Raw genomic sequence first — 14,062 nt, 5'->3', positions numbered from 1 at the left:
AGACTCTGTCTCAAACACAAAAACAAAAACAAACAAACAAAAATTCTCGAGTACCCAATAAGTAAATTTTTTTGAAACCAAAATGTCTATAAAATCTATAAAAGGTAAAATTTAGGCAACTACTAAATGGTACCATTGATGTGATGTTTTACTTTTTTGAGTTGTTCTTTAGTTCTAAAACAAATACCATTGGGAAGGAATATTTCAACTGTAAAGATATTAAAATACAGTAAAATATTTCCTGTATGAACTAAAATGTTCTCTTAACAAATATTATATCATACACTCTATCATTATTTTGAATGTGTTTTTTTTTTTTTTTTGAGACGGAGTCTCGCTCTGTCCCGCAGGCTGGAGTGCAGCGGCGCGATCTCAGCTCACTGCAGGCTCTGCCTCCCGGGTGCCCACCACCACGCCTGGCTAATTTTTTTGTATTTTTAGTAGAGACGGGGTTTCACCGTGTTAGCCAGGATGGTCTCGATCTCCTGACCTCGTCATCCGCCCGTCTTGGCCTCCCAAAGTGCTGGGATTATAGGCATGAGCCACCACGCCCGGCCCATTATTTTGAATGTTAAGCCCACATAGAAACTCTAAGTGGTCTCATAGAAGAACAGAATTGGAGTCCAGGTGCGGTGGCGCACGCCTGTAATCCCAGCACTCTGGGAGGCTAAGGCGGGTGGGTCACTTGAGGTCAGGAGTTCGAGACCAGCCTGACCAACATAGCGAAATCCCGTCTCTACTAAAATTACAAAAATTAGCTGGGTGTGGTGGTGCACACCTGTAGTCCCAGCTTTTTGGGAGGCTGAGGCAGGAGAATTGCTTGAACCTGGGAGGCAAATGTTGCAGTGAGCTGAGATCATGCCACTAAACTCCAGCCTGGGTGACAGAGGGAGACTCCGTCTCAAAAAAGAAAAAAAAATAAAAAGGGACACAATTGAAGCAACTCAAGTTCTACTTCTTGGTCTTTGCAGTCACTGTGCTTTTGCTGCTTATGTTGAATCTGTTTACACACAGGCATGGGTAGCACCCAGGAGGAGTTGAGATGAGAACCAACTCTGAAGCCGCCTCCAAGGATTTTAGACCTTCATGAATTTACTCATGAATTGAGTTAGCTGGGCAAAAAAATGAGTAGGCAAAATGATGGCATTGTACCCTATAAATATATAGAATTATTACTTGTCAATATAAACAAATAAATCTGTATTTTTAAAAGACAAATGAACCTGTTGGGGATCACCCGTATAACTGGGAGTTCTGAGAAATAATTTCCATGTCAAATATAATGTCTACTTAAAAATAAGTAATAAACATGTTAATTTCTAGCTTGCATATATTATTATTATTATTTTGAGACAGGGTCTTGCTCGTCGCCTAGGCTGGAGTGCAGTGGCGTGATCATGGTTCACTGCAGCCTCAACCTCCAGGGCTCAAGCAATCCTCCCACCTCAGCCTCCCTAGTTGCCGGGACTACGGGCATGTGCCACCATGCCTGGCTTTTTTTTTTTTTTTTTGGTAGAGACAGCGTTTTACCATGTTGCCCAGGCTGGTCTCAAACTCCTGGGGTCAAGCAATCCTCCCGCTTCAGCCTCCCAAAGTGCTGGGATTACAGGTGTGAGCCACTGCTCCCAGCCTTATCATTGTTTTTAAAGCCTTTTACAGAAGGTCACTGGTCTCAGCAGGGACCAACACTTAGTAACTCTTGCTCTTTACCTCCTGGCCACCCTGGGAATCCTTTTCTTGTCTGGGGGTGGGGTGGGGGTTCTGGAAGCCTGACTCTTACACAAAACCAGCACCTGCAGGTCTTTCCATTCCTCCAAAGGACTGGGCTTTTGAACTGTACAGCCAGGAAAAGACTCCCTCTTCCTCTATCCTTTCCCTGGGGAAAGCAGCCTTTCCCTGGGGCTGCCTTGGCTTCCAGAATCAGGGGAAGTTCTAAGAGAAGAAAGGAAAATAAGGCCAGGCCTGGTGGCTCATGCCTGTAACCACAGCACATTGGGAGGGCTAGGCGGGAGGATCACCTGAGGTCAGGAGTTCAAGACCAGCCTGACCAACATAATGAAATCCCATCTCTACCAAAAATACACAAAAAATTAGCCGGGCATGGTGGCGGGCGCCTGTAATCCTAGCTACTTGGGAGGCTGAGGCAGGAGAATCACCTGAACCCGGGAGGTGGAGGTTGCAGTGAGCTGAGACTGTGTCACTGCACTCCAACCTGGGCAACAAGAGCGAGTCGACTCCATCTCAGAAGAAAGAAAAAAAAAAAAAAGAAAAAGAAAGGAAAATAAGAGGAAAGATACTATGGGTTAATGTTTCCAAAATTTGCCAGTGCAAGAGGAACAGCTTGGATGGTCTCGGCAGCTGCCTCTGGCTTGCCCCAAATCTGAACTCCTGGGAATTCTATCCTCTAGTCACTGGCCTGGGAGAAAGTAGGGAAGAGCTACTCCACCCTCTGCTCTGGAGAAGAGATCTCAGGCCTAGAGAGGAGCTGTAATTGATGGGAAGTCGCATAGAGAGTTAGGGGCAGAGCCAGAAATGGTATCAGGTCCTAGGGTCCTCACTCTAGGAGTCTTCCTGCTGTTCTGAGCTGCAGAGCATAGCTCTGTCCCTGCCGTTTATTGCTCAGCTGTAAATGCACGCAACATCTTACCAGCAAACACAGTTCAATGCATTTATGCTCTGAACTTGATGCAGCTGTGGGGCTTATAAAAGCTGAAAAACAAGCACTACTGGCTGCTATTTGCTTTCCTCTAAAATCACTTGTGGGTCTTTCCTGGGTGGATTCATAATGCCAGAAAATATGATAACTGGAAAACATGCATCCCCCAGCCCCAAGGGCTGGAAATGGAGATGCCCTGGTCAGGCAAGGGGCAAGTGTAAGCAACCTGTTCCCCAGGGTACTGGGAGGGGCCCGGGCCTGGGTGAGGGGGCTACCTCTGGCTCAGCAGGGGATTCATGTCCAAGGTCAAGGTTGCCATCCACAGTGGCCCCATGAAGTCCGTTCTCCCGTAGCAACCACGGTGATCTTTTTTTGTTTGTTTGTTTGTTTTTTTTTTTTTTTGAGACGGAGTCTCGCTCTGTCACCCAGGCTGGAGTGCAGTGACACCATCTCGGCTCACTGCAAGCTCCGCCTCCCAGGTTCATGCCATTCTCCTGCCTCAGCCTCCTGAGTAGCTGGGACTACAGGCGCCCGCCACCACACTCGGCTAATTTTTTGTATTTTTAGCAGAGACGGGGTTTCACCTTGTTAGCCAGGATGGTCTCGATCTCCTGACCTCATGATCCGCCCGCCTTGGCCTCCCAAAGTGCTGGGATTATAGGCGTGAGCCACCGTGCCCAGCCAGTGATCTTTTAAAAATGTAAATCAGGTCATGTCCCTTCTCTGTGTAAACTCTTCCTGGCTCCCCATAACACTTAGAATAAAACTCCAGACCTCATGTGACCTGTTCCCACCTGTCTCTCCAGCCTCATTTTGTGTCACTACCGCCATATCCCTCTAGCACCCTGTGGCCACACTGGCCTCCTTACCTCCAGGGTAAGGGACACCCTCAGAGCACCTCCGGCCTTCACTCGTTTCCCCTCTGCCTGCCCTGCCTCCTCCAGTTTATTTCCTGATTGCACCTTGTTCTCATCATAGGTAAGTCTTCTCTGATTACCGTGGGGCACCCTCCCCCACCCCCTGGGATCCCAGGGTCTGGCTTTCTTCCCTTCATCACCTTTGTCACCGTCTGAAATGATTTTGCTTCTGTGTTTCCTTGTGTAATTATCTACCTCTCCCTCTAGAATGTAAGCTGCATGCTCACCTTCGATTCTCCAGGGCCCAGCTACCTGGTAGGTGCTTATTAAATATTTATTGAATGGATGATGGGCTCTGAGCCTTTCACCCTACAGCCGCATTTCCAGGTGTTCTGGGAGCATCAGTGGGAAGGACGTGTCCAGTGCTCAGAGCAGTGTGTGGTACATACTAAATACTCAGCGTCCCACCGTGACAACAGCAGCGATAACCAACACCTCCATTCTGCCAGGCCCTGTGCTAAATGCAGTATCTCATTTAACCTTCGCAGTGATCCTCTGAGGTAGGCACTGCTCCTGTCCCCATTTTAAAGATGGAGAAACTGAGGCTTAGGAAGCTGCCCAAGGCCCTATAGTCAGCAAGGAGAGGAGCTAGGATTTAAACACCAGGAGGCTGCCCAAACCCACTGTCCATACCTGCCTGCTGAGTTCACTGTCCAAACCCACTGTCTACACCTGCCCTGCTGAGTCCATTGTCCAAACCCACTGTCTACACCCGCCCTGCTGAGTCCGTTGTCCAAACCCACTGTCTACACCCGCCCTGCTGAATCCACCATCCTCCAGCCCTACCTCACCTCTCCCCTCGCTTGCAGCACCGGTCCCTGCTGGTTGCCTTCCGTTAAGCATCCTCATCTTGAGGCTGAGTCCTTCTTGCTGTTCATAGAACCTCTGTACACCCTGAGTCTCAAAAACTGTTGCTGGGTGAAATGGAATTTAATTCTGGCCCTTCTTCCCCCCACCTGAAGCCCCTTCCGTTTTGGTTCCCTTCTTTTCTTTCTTTCTTTTTTTTTTCTTGAGACAGGATCTCCCTATGTTGCCCAGGCTGGAGTGCAGTGGCGCAATCTCAGCTCACTGCAGCCTCTGCCTCCTGGGCTCAAGCAATCCTCCTGCCTCAGCCTCCTGAGTAGCTGGGACTACAGACATGCATCACCACGCCCAGCTACTTTTCGTAATTTTTTTGGTAGAGACGGGGTTTTACCATATTGATCAGGTTGGTCTTGAACATTTGAGCTCAAATGATCCACCTGTCTCGGCCTCCTAAAGTGCTGGGATTAACAGGCATAAGCCACCGTGCCTGGCCTTTTTTTTTAATTTTTATTTTAGAGACAGGGTCTTGCTCTGTCACACAGGCTGGGATGCAGTGGCTTGATCATAGCTCACTCACTCCTGAGCTCAAATGATCCACCCGCTTTAGCCTTCTGAGTAGCTGGCACTGCAACAGCACCTCACCACCCACAGCTGATTTTTTATTTTTTATAGAGACAGGGTCTTACTATGTTGCCCATGCTGGTTTTAAGTAATCCTTCCGTCTCGGCTTCCCAAAGTGCTGGGATTACAGGCATGAGCCACCGTCCCGGCCTTAGTCCCCTTTCTGAGGTGGTGATGGAGTTGACAGGGTGGTGACGGATGGGGTGGTAATATCATCCTTTCTTATATTATTCTTGCCAATAAAAATTGGCTTCATAGAATCAGATATAAAAGTTTTGAAGGAAAAGATCATGCCATGGGAGGGACTGATAGAACTTTGACAAACAGAAAGCAGTTGCTGTAAATGTCATCTGAGCATTTTCATGAAATAACAGACTTCTCTGTAGTCTAAGCCGCTAAAGAGTAAGTTTTAAAATACGATCCTCATTAAAGTAATGAAGTCCTCTTTGTCTCTCTTTCTTTCCTTTGAAGGGTGGGACCTTAATGTGAAATGTTCAGGCCCTAAGGCGGGCACTTCTGGGACTCTGTCCCACAAGAGTCTACATAGTGCCAAGTATGTGGACGTTTGGAAGGATGTTGAACTTTCCGCTTTTTTTCTCTAAGCCTCAGAGGTCTTATCTGTAAATTGGGGCTGATGGAGGCCACCAGCCTCCACATCAGAGGGGTGGGCTGTCACAGCTTGTTAGGTGACGGGAAGAATCAAAGCTCCCAGAGGGTGTGGACTGGTGTGGCTGAGGGGCTGGTGTGGGAAGACACTGTTGTGGGTTGGGCCCAGGGGCTTGGGGCTGCCTCAAGGGTCTCACAGTTGAATGGGGAGGCAGATGGACAAATCTGGCCATAGTTCATGGGAAGTCCCCTAAGAATTGCTCAGAGGAAAAAAAACACAACTTCTGGGAGAGTGCAGAAGGCTTTCTGGAGGAGGTGTCTTTGGGCTGGGTCTGGTGGGGGCTGGGATAGACCTCATGGGAGGAAGTAAGGTCAGAGCTGGGAGAAGCCAGGAGCCTCTGTCTGGTGCTTTTTCATCCCACACACATAAGAAGGCCCTACTATGCACCACGCCTGGTGCTAGCACTGGGCCACTGTCTAGAGGGGGAGACAGATGCTCATTGCAATGGCGACCGTTTCCAGGAAGGAGAGATTCAGGGGTGTTGGAGGGATCACCAGGTGAGGGGGTCGGAGGAGGTGGCCCTGAGTGAGCTGTATCGGTGTCTGAAGTGGGGAGGAAGAGCGCTGTGGGCAGAGGGAAGAGGGTGGAGCTCGGTGGTGGGAGGAAGCGGAGCACGTGGCACAGAGGCGCTGAGCACTCCCAAGGCTGCAACCCCGGGGAAGGGCCAGACCATAGCTGTGAGTGCCAAAGAGGCATTGAGGTTTCACTTGGGAGTCGATGGGACACTACGAAAGGCATGAAAGCGGGGTCAAAGGAGGCAGGGCTGGGGAGGTGAGGGCAGCGGTCATGGGAGGAGGAAGTGCCCCCAGGGACTGGAGAATGGGGTTTGTTGGGGGGTCGGAGGGAGGGGGACACAGCCAGGTGCCAGGGCCACAGTTCAATTCAGGGTCTTTTTGAGCTCTGCGTGCTGAGCTCTCCTGGCCAGCAGCAGGCGGGTTAGGATTGGGGTGGAGTTTGCTTTCATTGTTATTTCTGCTTTGTGGCCATGGCTGTTGTTATGTTTGTTAAATGAATGTGAATGATCCCTCTGCCTGGGCTCATGGACTTGGATCCCACCCCACACGCACCCACGCAAGCCTGAGCCCTGCCACGGCCTCCCCTTGCTCCACACAGCCTGGCACTGCCCTCAGCCCCACGGGCCTTCCTGTAGGCAGCAGCACCTTGTACACTGGGCCAGTGACTTGGGGGCCCCCAGGTGTGTACTCCTGTATCCCCCTGTTCTGTTCTCAGCTTCTCACCACCCCCACATTTGCTCCCTCCACCCCAACTCTTGTTCTCATGGAGCCCTGCCCTCTCTCTTCCTGCAGGCCCTGACCTGCTGGGGACCCTCCCGTAAGAGCTTCACCAGTGATTGGGAGCTGAGCTCTTGTCCTCAAAGGCAGGGGAGGGAGAGAGGGCAAGGGGACCCCAACCCTGTGAAGTCACTGGTGCAGATGGAGTTGCCCTGTAGGCTGTGGGGTTAGGAGGGGTGGTGGGCAGGGCTGGCTGTGTTTCCCAGGCCTCAGGGTGGGCTTGCCTCAACCAGGCACCTTCGCAGCCAGGGCTGAAGCACCTGTAATCCCGCCTTCCTCAGGACAAGTGAAGGACGCATCTAGGGATTCATTCTTTCATTTCACAGATATTTATTGCACATGGTGCCGGAGAATGGCTATGAGCAAGACAGAGGTGGTCTCTGTTCTCAAGGCAGCTACAGAGGGACAGCCACTCCCCCAGCCCCCAACTATGAGCTTCCCAGAACTGGCCTGAAGGTGCAGCTGCAATGATACGGGCTCACATCCTGGCATCCTCATTTGCTAGCGTGAAAATCGCATTTCTCCAAACCTCGGTTTTCTCATCTGAAAAACAGGCACAGCACCTAGTTTGCAGGACTGGGAAAGTTACAGAGGGTTAATGGCAATGCGGTTGGCCTTGGGCACTCCTTGTTCTGACCTCTGGAGTTCGGCTGCCCTGTGGTCTGGCCCTGGCTCTGTGGAGAGGCTTTCCCAGGCCGAGGGGCTCACCAGGCCTTCCCTAGTGAGGAGCTCTTTCTGCCAGAGCTGAGCTCATGGGCAGGGCGGGGCGCAGAGGCCACATATCAGCCAGCTGTCCTCCCTTTCCTGGGAGCTGGTCCAGAGACGAGGGGCAGGGCGTCTGGTTTTCATTGTGCGGCCGTCTCTAATTCCTCTGGCATCTGAGCTACTTTTCAGAAGGAGGGAGATGCACTTAACTGGTTGTGACCCAGCTTGGTGCTGAGGAAGAAGCCCTGGGCCTGGGATCAAGCAGAGTTGAACTCGAAGCCTGCCTCAGCCACTTACCTGCTGTGTGACGCGGGTAAGGCACTCCACAGCACTGAGTGTCAGGGGCCCCGATTGGAAAATGGCAATGATGATTTCTGCCCTGGCTACTCCACAAAGTAGAAATAGATGCAAACGTGTTTCATAAAACATAAAATATGAAGCTGGGGTTCTCCTCTGTGTTAATAGCATGGAGGGTTGGGGTTCTGCCCAGTGCCCAAGCCTTGCACAGAAATAGCCGCGCCCCTGCTGGTCCATGTGTCCAAAATGGTTAAAGCAACTTTGGGTCCATGGAACAGAGGTGCATTTCAGAAGCTGCTGGCTGGTGACCATGAGGAGGGCCAGGGCTCAGAAAAGGAACGGCTCACTCTGGTTGGTATGGTTAATAAAATAATAGCTAACATTTACCGACGGCTTATGAAGGGGCAGGCACACTTCTGAGAACTTTCCAGTTGTTAATCAATCCTCATAACAACCCTCTCAGAGAGGTTACTACTGTTCCCCCTGTGAGGACCTTTGAGGGAGGAAAGGCATTTCTGGAGAGGGAATTGGGTGTGCAAAGGCCTGGGGAGCCCCTCATATCCTGGGGGGCAGTGGGGGACCCGGCCTACAGCCAGGAGGGGCTGGCCTATGGGGCCTTGAAAGTCGGCCAAGGGGTTTAGACTGGATCCAGGCAGCAGGAGGAATCCCTGGAGCCCCCTGCGTGACCTCATTCTGGAGGATGGGTGGGATAGCGCTTCTGGGAGGGGCTGTGATGGACTGGTGTGGGTGGAGAGTTCAGGGAAGGAGGTGGGATTTCCTTATTCTTGGGTCTTCATCCTTGAGCACAGGCCCAGCTGCCACCCTAGTGGCCGCCACGGGCAGCCTCGATGCTGAGATGGGCTCAAAAGCCAGGCTGTGTGTGGTATGGGGTCTCAGAGCCCAGGCAGGGCCAGGGTGGCACCAAATGGCCTGCAGCTTAGTCCTGATGCTGCTTGTGCCCTAGCCCTCACAGGTAGCTCTCCAGGGGCCAACTGTACCCCATCCTGGGAGCTGACCCCAGGAAGGTCAGGGCAGTGCTGCCCGCTGGGTCCTAGAGGTGCCTGGAACATCTTGCTCACACCAGCAGGACACTCATGCCTTCCCCATCTGAGCCCGCTGCAGGCAGACCCTGGCCAGGGGCTGGCTGAGTTGGGGAGGGGGCAGGAGGGCCGTAGCCATGGTGGTTAGAGACAGGAGCAGTGTTGGTACCCTTTCTCTCAAATAAAATGAAGCCCCTTGCCAGGGAGGCCACTGTAGAGCTGGCACGAAGGAGGCTTCCTGTCTGAAGGAGCTGGTGCAGACACACCGGTGGGGCACCCGGCAGAACAACAGCAGAAGATCTGCAATCACACGAACTGGCTGCCTGTTCTCTACACGAGTCCAAGTGAGAACTCTGGGCTGGGAATGCTAAGGAGGCGAGTGTGGGGAGAATTCTCAGTTCTGCAGGGTGCCTTGCCCTGAGTCCTGACCCTTTGTGCTTGAGAGCAGTGGACAAATATGTTGGAAGTTCTTTTTTTTTGAGTTGGAGTTTTGTTCTTGTCGCCCAGGCTGGAGTGCAGTGGCATGATCCTGGCTCACTTCAACCTCTGCCTCCCGGGTTCAAGCAATTCTCCTGCCTCAGTCTCCTGAGTAGCTGGGACTACAGGCATGTGCCACCACGCCCAGTTAATTTTGTATTTTAGTAGACACGGGGTTTTGCACCACCACGTCCAGCTAATTCTGTATTTTTAGTAGACACGGGGTTTCACCATGTTGGCCAGGTTGGTCTTCAACTCCTAACCTCAGGTCATCTGCCTGTCTTGGCCTCCCAAAGAACTGAGATTACAGGCATGAGTCACTGCGCCTGGCCATATATTGGAATTTCTAGGGAAGACAGGGAAAGGGCTTGGGGAAAGTGATGGACTTTTAGTCATGAGGCATCCAGGGTGTGATATTTGTGCCAAAGCCAGAGATAAGACAACAAAGATGGCCCGGAAGATTGTGAGGCCTGACAGAGAAAGGCCAGATCTGGGGTGAGGTCACCGGGGAGACATGCCGGCCTGCAATGAGCCGCCGCCGCTAGCGGGAGTGGGCCCAGGGGAGGGGCGGGGAGCAGATGGGAGGAGGAGGGGAACTGGCCTTGGTGTTTCTTACTTTTAAAAAAGATGAAATACTTGGTGTCTGCAAAGAAAGTTGGGAGAATTTGGGGGTTCGAGCCCCCGGGGATCTTCACTGGGTAGCCAGGGAATGTGGTTCTATGCCCGAGGTAAATGTTCCTGGATTTGGTGTGAGTGGCCTCCACCTGGGGTAATTTGTAAACACTTCTGAAAGTGGCCCTTTGGCCAACAAGCACGTGGGGTAGCTCTGGCTCCTAGCTGTGTGGGAAAGGCTGAGGTGAGGGGAGCTGGGAAGGGAGCACACACGCTTTTTGTATGAGGGGAAGTGACCTGGGAAGAGGCCGCTGAGGAAGGGTGGGGGCAGGTCCTTTCCTGGTGGTGGCGCAGGGTGGACTTGCTCCCCACCTGCTCTTCTCACTCCAAGTCACCCTTTGCCAAACTTCTGGGTGGGGCCTTGTGCTTTGGCACAACCCATATTTCCCTTTCCAAACCCTCCCCAGCCCACAGGCCAGCGCTGCATGGCTCCTGCGGTGGCAGGGTGTCGACATTTCTGTTTGAAATGGTCGGCCTGGCCCCCAGCGCCTGTGGTGGTGTTCAGCCAGGTGCTTCCCTCACTCAACGAGGGGCAGCCTGACAAGCAGAAGATGCGACGCCGAGGGGCCCGGGGCCCTAACTACCCAGCAAGCAGTGCCAGTAAGAAAGGTGCTGGATTTGAACAATTCTGCTAAAAAGACAATTTTTGAGAAAACTGGGGAAATTTGAATATTGACCAAATATTAGGTAAGGTGAACATTTCTTGGCAAGCAATGGTGGAGAGTGTTAACTGAAACATACATGGCATGGTCTCACTTTTGAAAAAATAATTATGCATATACACACCCAGAAAAAGATCTGCAAGAATATACAGTAAGATTTTAATAGTGATATTCACTGGCTGATAGGAAATTTTTCCCGTGGTTTTTTTTTTTTTTTTTTGAGACGGAGTTTGATTCTTGTTGTCCAGGCTGGAGTGCAATGGCGTGATCTTGGCTCACCACAGTCTCCACCTTCCGGGTTCAAGTGATTCTCCTGCCTCAGCCTCTCCAGTAGCTGCGATTACAGGCATGCATCACCATGCCCGGCTAATTTTGTATTTTTAGTAGAGACGGGGTTTCTCCATGTTGGTCAGACTGGTCTCGAACCCTGACCTCAGGTGATCTGCCCGCTTCAGCCTCCCAAAGTGCTGGGATTACAAGCATGAGCCACCATGCCCAGCGTCCCCCATTTTTTGTTGTTTTTTTCTCACATGTGCTTTACATTTTTCATTATTCTTGGCCGGGCACGGTGGCTCACGCCTGTAATCCCAGCACTTTGGGAGGCCGAGGTGGGAGGATCACGAGGTCAAGAAATCAAGACTATCCTGATCAACATGGTGAAACTCCATCTCTACTAAAAATACAAAAATTAGCTGGGCGTGGTGGCGTGTGCCTGTGGTCCCAGCCACTCGGGAGGCTGAGGCAGGAGAATCGCTTGAACCCAGGAGACGGAGGTTGCAGTGAGCCAAGATCGCGCCACTGCACTCCAGCCTGGGTAACAGAGTGAGACTCCGTCTCAAAAAAAACAAACAAAAAAGTTTAATAACAAACTGCTGCCCTGCAAGGTGACAATCCAGGGCCAAGGCGGGCAGGCATGAGGCCGGTGGCTGCTGAGAGGAGCCTCAGTATTACAGAGATAGGACAGGAAGACTCAACCTCTTTTCTCCTTGGCTGCCTGCTGTGGATAAGAACTCTAACACTTATCTGAGTTCTGCACATGATCCAGAAAGTGCTGATAATTGCATAGCAAAAAAGTTAACTCTTGAGATGATCAGTGATTAAAAAAAAAAAAATCACCCCAGGCTGGTTTCCCCTATCAGCAGAGTCCATGGCTGGCCCCTACCTCTGTCACTGAAAATCCAACTTCATTTAAATAGTGGTTTGTAAAAATCCCAGAATTTTGAAAGCTAGAGCTGTCCATGTGTGCTGGTCTTTCTTGCTTTTCGCCTGGGGCCCTCTTGGGGCTGCCTCTAGATCTAGGAGCAGCAGCTTAGGGGTGAGAGCCGGAGGATTTGAAAATAGGGAAGGCTGAGTTAAACTTCACTTTAACCTGAGAGGGACAAGAGACCGGGGAAACTCCAATTTTTCTAGGCCTTATTTTCTCATCTTCCAAAAGGGTAGAATAATTCCTATGCCTCCTCCTACATATTTTTAACTTCTCAGAAGAGATGTGCTATGGACGGCTGTGGCTCAGCTCTTTGTGGGGGTGTGGATGTGGGGTGGGGTGAGGTGGAAAGGCTGGTTTTGTTTAATGGCATTTACATTCTGGATGCAGCCACTAATGGGCACCCCCACCACCTCCCCCAACCTCCACTGTGTTCCAGGCCCATACTCCCACCCCCATTCCTAGGCCTGGTTCTGCCTCTGTCCTTCTGCCCATCCCCATTCCTCTCTGGGTCACGCCTACACCTATGCAAAAGGGAGAGGACACCTGCATTTTTTTTAGCCAGACAAGGTTGATGGGGCCACTTCCTTGTTCCCATGAAACAGCTACAAAGGCCGGGTGCGGTGGTGCTGTAATCCCAGCACTTTGGGGGGCCGAGGTGGGTGGATCACTTGTGTTCAGGAGTTCGAGACCAGCCTGTCCAACATGATGAAACCCTGTCTCTACTAAAAGTACAAAAAAATTAGGCAGGCATGGTGGCGGGCGCCTGTAATCCCAGCTACTCGGGAGGCTGAGGCAGGAGAATTGCTTGAATCTGGGAGGTGGAGGTTGCAGTGAGCTGAGATCGTGCCACTGCACTCCAGCCTGGGTGACAGAGCAAGACTCTATCTCAAAAAAAAAAAAAAAAAAAAAAAAAAAAAAGAAACAGCTACAAAATCCAAATGCAGTGATGGTTTTGTGCAAAGATGAAGGCTGATGGGAGGACTTCAGAGGAGCAGGTGGGGGGCGGGAAGAACGAGTGTCCCTTCCCAGCCTTCCCCACACACCATCACCTCTGACAACAGGACACTGAAGGGGACTAACGTGTGCCCCACTCCTTCCTTTGGTCTCAGAGTTTACAATCCCTCAAGCTAGAGAGGAAGAAGTCTAGGAATATTATTTGAGAAAAATGTGTATTATGCAACAGCTACGAGATCAAGGCCCTTCCTTACCCAGGACTCTTCTCTGCAGCCCAGCAGTGGGGCTGAGTCCTGACTGCAGCAACTCCTGCTTGGGGACACTTGGCCTTGGCTCAGGGCCCGTCTTGTGCTCCTTATTATCCCACCATTTTGGTGGGTGAGCCACATGACGATGTATCTGTCTTCCTGGCTGGAAGGAGCAAGTGGGGGCGGGGCCGGGCTGCCAGAGCTTGTTCACCGTGGGATCTGGCATCCGGCATCTGGCAGCGCCCAGGGCAGAGCGAGCTTCCACTGTTGATCTGGGTGGGTTCTTCGGGCCATTTGCTAGCGTTTGTGTTTTGGACAATTCTGCTCTAAAATAAATTGTAGTATTTGGACGAAAATGAAGGTCAGGAAGAGGAATGTTCTTTTGGTTCCAAATTTTCTAAATAGACTGCTCTGATCCAGATAGAGTACCTTCCCTTTGGGCGGCTGAAGCCATGGATAGTTTATAGTTTGCTGCCCTCTTGTGGCACAGAAGTGATAAAAAGATTGTCTTCCCCTTTCAGATGCTGTCAGGCTCATTTCTCTGTTTGACAGTGAGCCATGGACAAGCTGTGGGGCAAAAGCAAGAACTGTACGTGGTCTCCATTTACAGAACTCCCAGGCTGGTGGAGGTGGCTTTTGGTACAACTCAGGTCTGAGGGCAAAAATACACACTTTGGCTTTGCACAAAGGGGCTGACGACCCCATACGTACCCTAGCACCTGGGCTGCCCAGCTAAAGAGGTCAAGTGGCCACAAGCTGAGCCTACGGTAATCTTTAATAACTAGAGTAAATTTCCTTGTGAACTGGAGAATTGGTAAGACAAGCTCAAAACCAGATCTTCCA

General features: G+C 51.3%; 1 protein-coding gene across 1 annotated transcript in view, besides 5 other annotated features; it reads right to left on the bottom strand.

Moving 5' to 3' along the window:
* Positions 1–7,263: 7,263 nt before the first annotated feature.
* Positions 7,264–14,062, bottom strand: part of ASRGL1 (asparaginase and isoaspartyl peptidase 1) — a 63,984-nt gene continuing 57,185 nt past the window's right edge. Inside the window, exon 6 of the mRNA XM_011545265.4 lies at positions 7,264–7,500. Within this exon, the coding sequence (XP_011543567.1) occupies positions 7,436–7,500 (65 nt within the window). The 3' untranslated portion in view covers positions 7,264–7,435. The remainder of the gene's footprint in view (positions 7,501–14,062) is intronic.
* Positions 9,797–10,441: an enhancer, noted in NCBI's record as "H3K27ac-H3K4me1 hESC enhancer chr11:62165726-62166370 (GRCh37/hg19 assembly coordinates)". NCBI's record gives its function as "activates a minimal SCP1, AML or CMV promoter by ChIP-STARR-seq in primed H9 embryonic stem cells {active_cell/tissue: H9 hESC(primed)}" and the evidence as "EXISTENCE:reporter gene assay evidence [ECO:0000049][PMID:30033119]".
* Positions 11,109–11,608: an enhancer, noted in NCBI's record as "H3K4me1 hESC enhancer chr11:62164559-62165058 (GRCh37/hg19 assembly coordinates)". NCBI's record gives its function as "activates a minimal SCP1, AML or CMV promoter by ChIP-STARR-seq in primed H9 embryonic stem cells {active_cell/tissue: H9 hESC(primed)}" and the evidence as "EXISTENCE:reporter gene assay evidence [ECO:0000049][PMID:30033119]".
* Positions 11,609–12,110: an enhancer, noted in NCBI's record as "H3K4me1 hESC enhancer chr11:62164057-62164558 (GRCh37/hg19 assembly coordinates)". NCBI's record gives its function as "activates a minimal SCP1, AML or CMV promoter by ChIP-STARR-seq in primed H9 embryonic stem cells {active_cell/tissue: H9 hESC(primed)}" and the evidence as "EXISTENCE:reporter gene assay evidence [ECO:0000049][PMID:30033119]".
* Positions 13,595–13,644: an enhancer, noted in NCBI's record as "active region_4814". NCBI's record gives its function as "activates an Ori minimal core promoter by ATAC-STARR-seq in GM12878 lymphoblastoid cells {active_cell/tissue: GM12878}" and the evidence as "EXISTENCE:reporter gene assay evidence [ECO:0000049][PMID:35858748]".
* Positions 13,755–13,824: an enhancer, noted in NCBI's record as "active region_4813". NCBI's record gives its function as "activates an Ori minimal core promoter by ATAC-STARR-seq in GM12878 lymphoblastoid cells {active_cell/tissue: GM12878}" and the evidence as "EXISTENCE:reporter gene assay evidence [ECO:0000049][PMID:35858748]".

This window comes from Homo sapiens, chromosome 11, assembly GCF_000001405.40.
Source record: "Homo sapiens chromosome 11, GRCh38.p14 Primary Assembly".
Classification (NCBI taxonomy): Eukaryota; Metazoa; Chordata; class Mammalia; order Primates; family Hominidae; genus Homo; species Homo sapiens.
The sequence above is the reverse complement of the archived record's forward strand: the minus strand, read 5'-3'. Positions and strand labels throughout refer to the sequence as shown.